General features: G+C 50.1%; 1 protein-coding gene across 1 annotated transcript in view, besides 1 other annotated feature; it reads right to left on the bottom strand.

The window, feature by feature from the left end:
- Positions 1–13207, bottom strand: part of DLGAP2 (DLG associated protein 2) — a 970849-nt gene that overhangs the window by 497593 nt on the left and 460049 nt on the right. The window lies entirely within an intron of this gene.
- Positions 9564–9764: a silencer, noted in NCBI's record as "peak6884 fragment used in MPRA reporter construct". NCBI's record gives its function as "represses an SCP1 promoter by STARR-seq MPRAs in K562 erythroleukemia cells {active_cell/tissue: K562}" and the evidence as "EXISTENCE:reporter gene assay evidence [ECO:0000049][PMID:32103011]".

Raw genomic sequence — 13207 nt, 5'->3', positions numbered from 1 at the left:
TGGCAGAGGATCTGGGAGGGAGGGGGAACTACAGGGGAGTGACCTTACAAAGTGTCCCACATGGGAAAACCGACCACATGGGGCCCAGGGGAGCTGTGGAAGGGACCCAGGATCCACGTGCCCTGCAGGGGTGCTGCCATTGGAACCAGGGCCGGGGGTGGGGGGTCAGTTATGCCAGTTTCCCTTCTTTGGCCTCAAGTGGCCCCAGACTCACTTCTAAAATATTCCCAAGGCAGTAGCCATGGCAAGAGGGAACTAGGCCCCAGAGGGAGCCCCTCCATGCCATACCCCACCTGCCAGAGAAACTTCTCTGTACACTCCCCACTCAGTGGGCCTGTGCTGTGCTTGCTGGGGGCATTCTACGTTTCAGCAGAGCTGAGCTGCCTGCCCGCCTCAGGGCTTGAGCCCCTCTCCTTCCCCCCACACACTCCTGCTGCTCTTGAATGAACATGGAAACTCTTTAACAGGGTCAGCCCTCAAGACATCTCAAGTTCCCCTGCTGCAGGCTGCATCCAGTTTCTTAAAACACTGCACTGGTTTCATCTGGCCCTGGACACATGCCCTTCCAGACAACCAAACCTCCCTGTCATCAGCTGAATCCCTGCCATGCTTCCAACATCACCCTGCCCTAAGCCAGCCTCTCCAGGAAGGTCACCTGAGCCCTGGACGGATGGGACCCTTGTCACATGCCCAGCAGAGCCCACTCCACAGAGCCTGGCCTGGAACCTGGGGGGTGACGTGTAAATCTGGCCACCACTAAACACCAATCAAGGCCCAGCACCCACCCTACCTGGGATTAAGTCAATCACAGGCTCTTAGGCTCAGGGGTTGTAAGACACTGGGGCGAGGTGGATGACTGAGCACCATGACTGACACTGAATCCTGGAGATTATGAAACTGGCAAATTATTTGAGTTGCTAAAAAGATAAAATTTCTCCAGTTGAAAGTGGTCAAGCACCGCTGATGACACGCCGTTTCTCAGGGAGGGAGGTGGGATTACGAGGGGGTAGGACATGCCTGGGCGTTCTGAGTGGCTTCTGTGGAAGAGTCCTAATATCTCAGTGAGCTGTGACAACTTAGGATACAGACAAGTCAGACCATCACAGTTGTGCAAAATAAGCTCACTTATGACTAATTCCTGGAAAAACACCTTTAAATGTTTTCCTTTGATTATAAAAATTACTCATTAATAACACGTTCAGACATTCTAAGAGTGCTTGGAATAGGAGGTTACTCTCATGACATCACCTAAGACTAATTACCTCCCTAAAACCCCATCTCCAAATACCATCACATTGGGAGTTTGGGCTTCAACATAGGAATTTATTAGAGTAGTATAGAAACGGATTAATTGTATTTATGAAAATGATTCACTCAAGAAACATTGACAGAACAGCTGATGCCCACCATGGGACCAGCACAGATCTAGGACTACATATGCAATGATATATCACAAATCTGATTGTCTTTTTGGAATTTAAAATGTAGGGAAGGAAAAAGCTAATAAACAAATAAACGAACCCATAAAGAAAAATTACACTCTATTTCTGGGTCCTCTATTCTGTTCCATTGCTCTACATGCCTATTTTTATGCCAGTACCATGCTGTTTTGGTGATTATAGCCTTATAGTATAGTTTGAAGTTGGGTAATGTGATGCCTCCAGATTCGTTCTTTTTGCTTAGTCTTGCTTTGGCTATGCAGGCTCTTTTTTGGTTCCATATGAATTTTAGGATTGTTTTTTCTACTTCTGTGAAGAATGATGATGGTATTTTGATAGGAATGATATTGAATTTATCCATTGTGTTTGGCAGTATGGTCATTTTAACAATATTAATTCTACCCATCCATGAGCATGAGATGTGTTACCATTTGTTTGTGTCATCTATGATTTCTTTCATCAGTGTTTTACAGTTTTCCTTGTAGAGGTGTAGAGGTTTTTCACATCCTTGGTTAGGTATATTCCTAAGCATTTTATTTATTTATTTATTTATTTATTTATTTATTTATTTATTTATTTTTGCAGCTATTATTGTAAAGGGGTGGAGTTCTTGATCTGATTCTCAGCTCCGTCACTATTGTTCTATAGGAGTGCTACTAATTTGTGTACATTGATTTTGTGTCCTGAAACTTTACTGAATTCATTTATCAGATCTAGGTTTTCTAAGTATAAAATCATATCATCAGTGAACTGCAACAGTTTGACTTCCTTTTTACCAATTTGGATGCCCTTAATTTCTTTCTCTTGTCTGATTGCTCTGGCTAGGACTTCTAGTACTATGTTGAACAGAAGTGGTAAAAGTGGGCATCCTTGTCTTGTTCCAGTTCTCAGGAAAAATGCTTTCAACTTTTCCCTGTTCAGTATAATGTTGGCTGTTAGTGTGTCATAGATGACTTTTATAAACTTAAAGTATGTCCCTTCTATGCCAATTCTGCTGAGGGTTTTAATCATAAAGTGATGCTGGATTTTCTCAAATGCTTTTTCTGCAACTGTTGAGATGATCATGTGATTTTACAGCCAACTGATCTTTAACAAACCAAACAAAAACATAAGCGGGGAAAGGACACCCTATTCAACAAATGGTCCTGGGATAATCGGCAAGCCACATATAGAAGAATGAAACTGGATCCTCATCTCTCACCTTATACAAGAATCAACCCAAGATGGATCAAAGACTTACAGCTAAGACCTGAAACCCTAAATATTCTAGAAGATGGCATTGGAAAAACCCTTCTAGACATTGGCTTAGGCAAATACTTCATGAGCAAGAACCCAAAAGCAAATTCAACAAAAGCAAAGATAAACAGAAGAGACTTAAACTAAAAAGCTTCTGCACAGCAAAAGAAATAATCAGCAGAGTAAACAGACAACCCACCGAGTGGGAGAAAATCTTCAAAAACTATGCATGTGACAAAGGACTCATATCCAGAATCTTCAAGGAACTCAAACCAGCAAGAAATAAAAACAAATAATCCCATCAAAAAGTGGGCCAGGGACAGGAATAGGCAAATCTCAAAAGAAGATACAAAAATGGCCAACAAACATATGGAAAAAATGCTCAACATCATTAATTATCAAGGACGTGCAAATAAAAAAACCACAGTGTGACACCACCTCACTCCTGCAACAATGATCATAATTAAAAAATAAAAAAATAGATGTTGGCATGAATGTGGTAAACAGGGAACACTTCTACACTGCTGGTGGGAATGTAAACTAGTACAACCACTACGGAAAACAGTGTGGAGACTCCTTAAAGAACTAAAAGTAGATCTACTGTTTGACCCAGCAATCCCACTCGTGAGTATCTGCCCAGAAGAAAAGGCTCATTATACGAAAAAGATCCTTGCACATGCATGTGTATTCACAATTGCAAAAACACAGAACCAGCCCAAATGCCTATCAACTAATGAGTAAAAAAAGAAAATGTGGTATATATATACCATGGAATACTACTCAGCCAAAAAAAGGAACAAAATAATGGCATTTGCGGCAGCCTGGATGGAGTTGGAGACCATTATTCAAAGTGAAGTAACACAAGAATGGAAAACCAAACATTGTATGTGCTCACTTACAAGTGGGAGCTAAGCTATGTGGATGCAACGGCGTAAGAATGACACAATGGACTTTGGGGACTCGGGGAAGGATGGGAAGGGGTGGAGGATAAAAGACTACACGTTGGGTACAGTGTACATGGCTTGCGTGCACTAAAATCTCAGAAATCACCACTCAGTCACTTATCCATATAACCAAACACCACCTGTTCCCCAAAAATCTATTGAAATAAAAAAGGAAGAATTGCAGATTTAGGTAACACTGTGAAGGACACATCTAGGAATGGAGAGGGTGAAACCTGGGTGAGCTCTGTGTGTGGTGGGGACAGGAGGAGCCTCTCTGGGAGGGTGGGCAGGAAGTTTCACCGAGACGGTGTCCACTCAGCACTGAGATGGATGACAAGGAACACTTGTGGATGGAGACGGGGCCGGGGGCAGACCGGGGACAGGGATGGATCGTGAGAAGGCTGACATAGGAAAACCTTGCTGTGTCAGCGACAGAAGAGGGGCCCGTGGAGCCTTAGCCTGCAGGTGCAGACAAAGAATGGTAGCAGCGATGGCAGAGAGGTAGGCAGGGCCCGGAAGACCAGTTCTCCAGGACGCAGCTAAGGACTGTGCCAGGCGCTCGGGAGACCAGGAGGGTGTGGAGATTAATCACTCACAGTCTACCCCAGTCCACGGATGGCTGGAGATTAACCGCTCACAGTCTACCCCAGTCCACGGATGGCTGGAGATTAACTGCTCACAGTCTACCCCCGCCCACGGATGGCTGGAGATTAACCGCTCACAGTCTACCCCAGTCCACGGATGGCTGGAGATTAACCGCTCACAGTCTACCCCCGCCCACGGATGGCTGGAGATTAACCACTCACAGTCTACCCCAGTCCACGGATGGCTGGAGATTAACCGCTCACAGTCTACCCCAGTCCACGGATGGCTGGAGATTAACCGCTCACAGTCTACCCCAGTCCACGGATGGCTGGAGATTAACCATTCACAGTCTACCCCAGTCCACGGATGCCTGGAGATTAACCGCTCACAGTCTACCCCAGCCCATGGATGGCTGGAGCTGCAGGAGTGCCCAGTGGTGCGTGGCCAAGAGACTGTGGTGCTCAAACACCCCAACATCAAGCAGCCTGGCACTTGTACCTACCCTTCTCACAGCGCCTTCCCTTCAAACTCCTTTGTGATCCACCGAGCAGCTCACAGTAACATCACCTTGGGTGCAGAGGGGTTAACATGATTTCTAAATGCTCAGAGATATCCCGACTGAGATGGCTCCCTGAACTTCCTGCTTGATTTGCTGATGAAATCCCCAAGGTCACTCTTCACTTTTGTTTCCTTGAGATGAGGTCTTTCTACATTGCCCAGGCTGTAGTCACTCTCCTGGGCTCAAGTGATCCTCCTGCCTCAGCATCCCAGGTAGCTGCGATCACAGACAGGTGCCACTGCACTTGGCTGCCCTTTATTTTTGAAGGGAAAAATATCTACTCCAGATTTGATGTATTCTCACTCAGGCGGACTGAAGTCCTCCTAGGACTCCATGAATTTCCAGTCACGGCACAGCCATGTCTCCCGCCCCCATCACAAGGACTCCATTTGGAAATGGAGACGCTGAGAACCTGTCCGAATCCCAGTGCTCCGGTCACCTCTACCTGTCCAGCCTTCCCACCTGTGCCTTTCCCGAGGCGAGCTGAGCAGAGGCTGGTTCACGCACCACGTCCCAGCGGCAGCTCTTGGTGCCTCTGTGTTGCAGTAAAAGCTCCCAGGGTGCTTCCTAAGAGCAGACGCCACCAGCCATCTGGGAATTAATCGGTGGCCACAGAGGGTCCCCCTGTCAATTGCCTGGACTCTCTCCCAAGCTTTTGAGGCTGTGACGTCACGTGTTTCTAGAGCCTTTTCAGGAAGAGCCGGCTGAGACGTCATGTGATTCTAGAGCCTTTTCAGGAAGAGCCTGCACTTCTGGACCCTTCCTTTTCTCAAATAGCCAAGACCCTGAGGAACAGGCTGCCCGTCGCCTCAGGGGCTATCCCCGACCCCTCCTGGTTGGACACACCTCCTCGACATCAGCTATAAAACTATCACTTTACTGAGGCAGAGCATTGACTTCTTAACCTACAGTTACAAAAAATAAAAACAAAACTGGTTTTCTCTTAGGAGAGGAAAAAACGCGATGGACCTTTCCAGGACAAGGGACGTGAGATGCAGAAATTCCCACCTGGCCCCTCCTTGACGGACAGGAAACACAGGAAACCCAACCACATTCCGGTTCCCCATGATGCAGAGACCAGCCCTAATGACTGCAATTACGGCTCCGTTTAACAGACAACTGACTGGATGTTACAATGGAGCTGTCAGCCCCACTGAATTAATCCTGCTGGAGGACCATTTTCATCTGTTGCTCCTGTTCCAGGCAAACAGCCCTGGTCAGCTCTGGGACCAAGTCCAGGCTCTGGAGAGGGCCGGTGTTCAAGGCCATCTGTAATTTAGTTCAGCCTCATAAATCTAAGCTTCTCTCTCTTTGCACTCTACTGCCCCTAAGAACCTCTTATTCAGATTTTTTCTTCCCTCTTCCTTGCTTTCTCCTCTCCTACTGCCTCATCCATCTCCATCCCTCCCTCATTTCCAGGCAGATGTCAAGGATCTCACAAGAAGGATGGGGAAATGGGCTGGGTTCTTTGGCGAATCAGCCAACATGCAGTTCCCAGCCTGTCTCTCCTGTCCTTCAGGCCTCAAAATTACCCAAACTATCACATCATAGGTGTATATAGACATATACACACACACACAAGTGTTCTTTGTCCAGTTTCACCAGGTGTGAAAACTAAGATCGAATAGATGAAGGTATGCAGTAAGTTGCTCAAGACCACACACGGTCATTACACGGTCAGCCTGGCTTCCAGCCGGGGTCCACCGTCACTCACACCTGTGAGTATCACTTCACTCCAAAATCCATCTTTCTTTAAATCCCAGAATCCCCGGGTTCTTCCACACCATGGCCTGTAATTGTTCTCTCGTGAGAACTTCCGATCTCAGAAGATGATGAGATTGTCTCATCCTGTTTAGTTTCAATCTCTCGCGGAATCTAACACAGCGCAGGGCACACAGTAGGAGCAGATAAAAACCCGCTGATATTCTGTGATGGGTGTGACTTACCCCCTCACTACTCAAACTCTGGTCTGTGGACCGGCATTGCTGCCATGTATGGCAACCTTTTCAGAGATGCAGAATTCAGGTCCCGCTCCAGACCCATGAGTCAGAATCTGCATTCTCCTGAGATCCTCAGGTGGTTCGTAAGCACATTGAAGTTTCAAGAGCACTACTTTACCCTACATGCTTAGTTCAAAAGAACGCCTTTTTGGAAGTGACCTATTTTTTGACACTTGACATGCACACACCCAGGGGCAGGCTCACAGGTGGTCAGGCTGAGTCCTGATACAGGCACTTCCTACTCCTCCCTAAATGAGAACGAGCCTGCCTTCATCCAGCCCCCTGACTGCTGCACCATCCACTCACCAGAACACAGAGGACAACCTTTAGGTGACATTGGCTGCATTAGAATAACAGTGATATTTCATCACTGTAAAGTGAGAGTGGAGAAATCATTTGTGTGTGTGGTTGGGTATAGAGCGAGAATAAGGGGATTTCTATAAACTCAGTTCTTCGCACCGTCATCCATTCCTTGATATAAAGACATCTCTTCTTATCTGTAGGAAGTACATTCAAACGAGAAGCTGAAACTTAAAGGGAAGAGTAGAGAATCTGCTAGATAAAAGAGAACCTTTAGCATCTGTTCCACAGAGATCGCTGAGAAGGGTATCCCTACTCAGGACACGCAAAATGCACACGCAGAAAAGGCACTTTGGGGAGGCCTCCTTTCTGTGAAGCTTCAACTCTCAGGGTCATCAGTCTCATGGGTTCTAACACCGAAGGGTGGGCGGCCTCGTCACCGAAGGACACGCCAGTCTCATGGATTCTAACACCGAGGGGTGGGTGGCCTCGTCACCGAAGGACACGCCAGTCTCATGGATTCTAACACCGAGGGGTGGGCGGCCTCATCACCGAAGGACACACTAGTCTCATGGATTCTAACACTGAGGGGTGGGTGCTGCAGGACACACACGTCTATAATCCCCTCGTGCAGGACACACACATCGTGTTAATAGGAATAACAGACCTCAAAACAAACAAACGAACAAACAAACGAACTAACAAACAAACAAAAACCCTAAGAGAAACACCCAAGCAGCCCATTTGGGAGAGCCGGAGAGCAGCTTACGGAACCGGCGTGGATGTGGGTGCCCGGCAGATGGATGGGGTGGTGGCGAGGAGAACTCTGCAATCACCGGAGTACACGGAAACCGTGATGTCGCTCAGCTTCTCGGGAGCGCATGTGCTCACCCCATCTGTGAAAAATGCGTGCGCCTTGAAGAGGCGTGGCTGGTCGGTGGGCAGCGGCTGATTAACAGCTCAGACAAGACATGGCTGCTTTTTCCTCGAGCTGCATCTGATCAGGCGTGTTCAGTGGCTTGGGTGATTGTCATTTGGGTGGATTCAAGGTGAATGCCTGAGGCCTCTGGATCTCACACAGGTGCACAGGAGACTGAGGAGGAAGCGTTGGGCAGTAGGGATCCTGGGGCCCCACTTGCTGCCTTGACTGGGACAGGTGAAGGAGGCATTGCCTGGCCCCCCATCCCCAGAGCCTCTGCCTGTGACTGTCCCGTGTTACGGCCTCTGTGGTGTCTCCACACCTCCCATCTCCTGGGGAATTCCTCTGCATTAGAAAATGGACTTGGAATACATTCCTTAAAACATGTTTTTGTATGTCTGACATCTCCTTCTTCCTACAGAAAGGGTAATGATTCCCCATTATAAGAAACCCAAACTGAAACCACACATCCTCACAGTCCTGAGGGCTCACACACGCCCCACAACAGCATGGACGTCCACTGCACAGCACAACAGGTGCCAAGAGGAGCCGTGCCTGCCCCTGGCCCAGGCCTCACCCCCAGTACATACACACACACACACACATATACTACATACATGCACCACAGACACACACACACACACACACACACACACACACTGCATCTATACATACAGAATACATGCATACACATACACCAACAGATACATCACACCACACGCACACAGATACACAGATACTGTACACACCACATGTGTATACACACACAACAGACACACAGATACACAGATGCTGTACACATGTGCACACTTGCACACACCACAGGCGTACACATACACACACATCACACAGATAGATACTGCACATGTGCACACATGTACATAGACACATGTGTATACACACACACCACATATACACAGATACACAGATACTGTACACACCACATGTGTACACATACACACATCACACACAGAGCTAGATACCACACATGTGCACACATGTACATACACACCACATGCTTACACACACACCACAGATAGATACCGTACACATACACACATGTGTACACACAAGCACCTACACCGCACACACGTACACAGAGGCACCGCTGTGTGTCTGCGGATGCTGCCTGGTGATGAGGGAGGGCACAGCACACAAGCCCCTCACAGGGAAATGTGCTCTGGGTCAAGCTCCATTCACTGGATCCCACGGCCTGGACCACGTCACAGGCATCTGACAAACAGGCACTGAACCAGGAGCTCTGAGTGTGTAAATCCCTGTGTGAGCTGCACCTGTGTCTACCCCTGCCGTGCCGGTGACCACACACTGGGTGTCTAAAGCGATCTATATCCGTCCGGAGATGCGATGTCCAAAACGGACTCCCTGGGCTGAAGCACACTGTCCCCAGGACCTGGCTTCCTTCTGGAGGCTCTGGAGAATCTTCCTCCCCTTCCAGGTCCTCTCGGCGTCTTCATCCAATCCTTGAAGCCCTGCAGGGAACAGAAGGCCGTCCCTTCCCGAGGAAGGGGGAGCCCCCTGCCCCACGGCCCCTGAGCGGGAGCAGAGCTCCTGCTGGTTCCAGGGTCGCTGAGGGCCTCACACCTGCGCGGGGATGCTGGGGACTTCGGCTCTGTGGTTGGGACCTGCCAGCCTCCACAATCACACGCGTGCATGCACCCCTGGTTCTGCGTCTCTCGAGAACCCTGATGGACAAGGGGCTCCCTACGCAGCGGCTTCAGCCTCCACAGGGCTCCGTGGCATCCTCCTCTTCCTCCCACGGCTCCAGGCCTCGGGGACGGGGAGCAGCCTCCCCAGTGCTGGTCTCTGGGCATCTCGGCACCCGCCTGGCCGCTCACGCCACACTCACCTCTAGGTGTGGGTCCCTAACGGTGGGGTCCGGGGAGACAGCCGCGCCTTCTTTCCCTAAGGCCGAGCGCAGCGCCCCGCCGTGCACAACACGCTCCTGGAGCTGAATCGCGCACCGCCCGGAGGCGGCGTGGAGAAACCGAGCACGGGAGCCAGCAGCGGACGCATCGTTCGATGCCAAACCGATATGTGGGAACGGAAAACAAAGCGAAAGCTGCCACTCTCCATTCTCTCAGAGTCTTCTGGAAGCTTCCGTCCAGCAAGTCAGGAACCCGTGTTATTACAGCTCTGTAAGTCCGAATCCAGGCTGATTTCAACGTGTCTCTAAATAAGATCCAACCTTTGAAGGTCAAGGGCTGTGCGCTCCCCTGAGGCTTTGTCAAACCAACATCTGCAGTTTGCCGTCCAGCGCAAGTGACGCTTTGGTGACGCTAATGGACGTGGCAGTGGGACGTGCAGGCGGGAGGCTCTTTCCGGAGGTCCGAGGAGCTGGCGGGTCAGACCAGAGAACAATCAGCATCCAGGCCCTTCAGCCCCCGAGGAGCACGAGGCCAGATGGATGGTTTATGAGGAACAAGCATCGCAGTGTGAACGGAAACACCATGAATCATTTCAGAACAACTGCTAGTGACTGTCCTTGAGGAAATACATCGGAAAGCACAGTTTTAACAAGCTCTGAAGATGAATTAGGAGCCGGGGCCACGGGACTGAGCTCAGTGAGAAAAGAACACGCAGGACCCCGGAGCAAGAGGCTGGAGACGGCGCATGAAGCCTCGATGGGGAAAGAGGCAGTGAGGAAAAGACACGAAGCTGTCCCAGGAGGAAGGTGACACCCGGTGCTGCACGGTGGGGAGGAGAGCACGGGGGCCAGGGAAACCCAGCCTCTCCTGTGGGCCTGTGCAGGGATCCGCTCCCGGCCCCCACGCCCCCGACCCTTCAGCCTACATCCATCCCAGCTTCCCTGTACGGAGTCGTCCTCATCCTCCTGTTCTCGGGGTCACCCCCAGCCTCCCCACACTTTTCCACAGGATGGGACCCCCGGGGATGCACAGACTGACCCCTGCTGAGACCCGGCCTCTGCGGGGGGTTGTGGGGGGGAATCCTTCCACCTCGTGGCTGTCATCACCAGGGGAGGGGGCGGTGTAGAGATCACACTCTCCACCCAGTGACACAGCCGATGATTCCAGTGTTTCTAAGAGTTATTTTTTTTCCCTCTTCACTGATCTGAAAATAATCATCGTTTAAGTGTTTCCATACACACCTTCCATCATGCAAGAGCTCTCATGCTAAAGTGTCCTAGATACAAACATTCAGCCCGAGTGAGAGCCACCGAGTGCAAATACCCATAAGACTCTCCATCAGAAAGTGGGATTTTTCACTAAAAGGACAGCATTCACTTTCTAGCGCCCATCTGGCTGGCATGAGTTTGGCTCATGAAGATGGTGTTTCCCGAGGTCATTACTTTTCTGAAGCCAACTGCTGAGTCTCCTGACCTAGAAGAGGTAGCTGTGCTGTGATCCAGACACACAGGCAGCCTTCACTGGACTGCCTGTGCCTTTACTGTGTCCTCCTACCCTACTTTTATCCAACATTTTAACATGTCCACTAATTTGTAATAAGCGCTCACTTCTCTTCTGTAATCCTGGAATCTATTTTTCTACTAAGTATGCAAAAAAGAAACTGCTACATAGATTAATAGCCAAAAGAGATCACCAGGGAGAAGCTCAACCTGCTCAAATATTGCAAGATATCTGTTGAGTGAAGCAGAGTCTTCAACGATATCTATTCAGCCATGCTTTCAATTATCCACACTGAGTGAAGATATTAAAATCTCATTTCTACACTATTCATCAATACCCCAGAATTCTCTTCAGTAATTCAGACGACTGTTGCTGCGGTTGTTGTTGTGTGTATGTGTGTTTAAGTACTCTTTAATTATTTCAGATGACTTAGATCCTTTCTAAACTGAGCAGTCTGGAAGTCTGGAACTTCACCTTTATTCAACCACGCGACCTCTGCTGCATTTTAAGGAGCAGCTGAAACTCAGCTCTGAGGATTCATCCACAACTGGTATAGCCCTTGCCAAGCACAGTCTGCCTGTATCCAGGTCCCGGGCACACACGCCCGCTGCCACCCTTCCCTGTGCACCTGCATAGGCAGGCGTGGGGGTGCAGCTCCTAACCCCCAGCCAAGACCAATGCCTAGCCCAGGAGGGAGGTGCCCATCCCCCTGCTGTAGGGCTCACTCCCGAGGGAAAGGGGAAGCATCGTTCAGGTGTGGTCTTGCCAAAGGACACCTTCCCGCACACCCAGGCACACGTGTCTCTTCAGGACATGAGGGGCCTGCCTGACCCATGGACATGGGGTGGAGCTGGGCCTGAGCGGCTCGGCCTTTCTCCCCTTGCCTTTTGGGGTCTGCCAGTCTGCAGAGCACACACTCTCATCTGCAAACCATACCTGCCACCTGGGACCTGGCCCTCCTGAGTCATGAGTGCCCTCCTCGCAGCCCCTTCCCCCGAGCTCTGGGGGATGCTCATCCTTCTGGACCACAGGCCCTGGCTCCACCTGCACTTATAGAGGTGGGTGGGAGGCAGCTGCCACCTGCGCTCCCTCTGCACACCCAGGACACAAGGTCCAGGCAGCTCTCTGTGGAAAGCAGTGGTGCAACATGCGTGACGCCCCACGACGAAGCTGTTGTTGTCATTTCAAAACAATAGGGAGGTTTTTCTGGGCTGCTTTCTGGTCACAAACTTGAAGCTTACAAAAGTCCCTTTCCTCCTTAGAGGGATGTGCAGCTTGTTAATGGGGGTGAGGAGCTGGAATCCTCAAGGAAATTGCTCCTTTTCGCCGCAGCATAGCCCAGCACCACACCGGAGGGCCTGTGTGGGAGTCTACGTCCACACACCCACACGCACACACGCACACACGTACACACACACACACAGAACCACACAGGTAACAGTCCACAGAATTGGCCTCTGTTCCTCATCCACGGCCATGGCTCATTTCCAGTGGGTCCCTGAATGACCCAGGCTACTCCTCAAAGGTCACTCATAGGACAGACATGGGTGTGCAAGGGTGAGGACAGATGCACATGTGGGCCAGTTCTGGGAGGATGCACCCTGATTCCACTCATTCCCCATGAGAGGAAACACTGCAGGGGGCCCAGGAGACGAGAAACCTGATTCCACTCATCCCCCATGGGAGGGAACGCTGCAGGAGGCCCAGGAGATGAAAAAGGTAGTGCGGTTCATGTGGACATCTGGTGGCCCAGACCCTCAACATTGGCGTGGCTCAGGTTTATATGGACAGCTGGTGGCCCAGATGCTCCACATTGACGTGGCTCAGGTTTATATGGAC

This window comes from Homo sapiens, chromosome 8, assembly GCF_000001405.40.
Source record: "Homo sapiens chromosome 8, GRCh38.p14 Primary Assembly".
NCBI classification, from domain to species: domain Eukaryota; kingdom Metazoa; phylum Chordata; class Mammalia; order Primates; family Hominidae; genus Homo; species Homo sapiens.
This window is presented reverse-complemented; position numbering and strand designations above follow the sequence as displayed.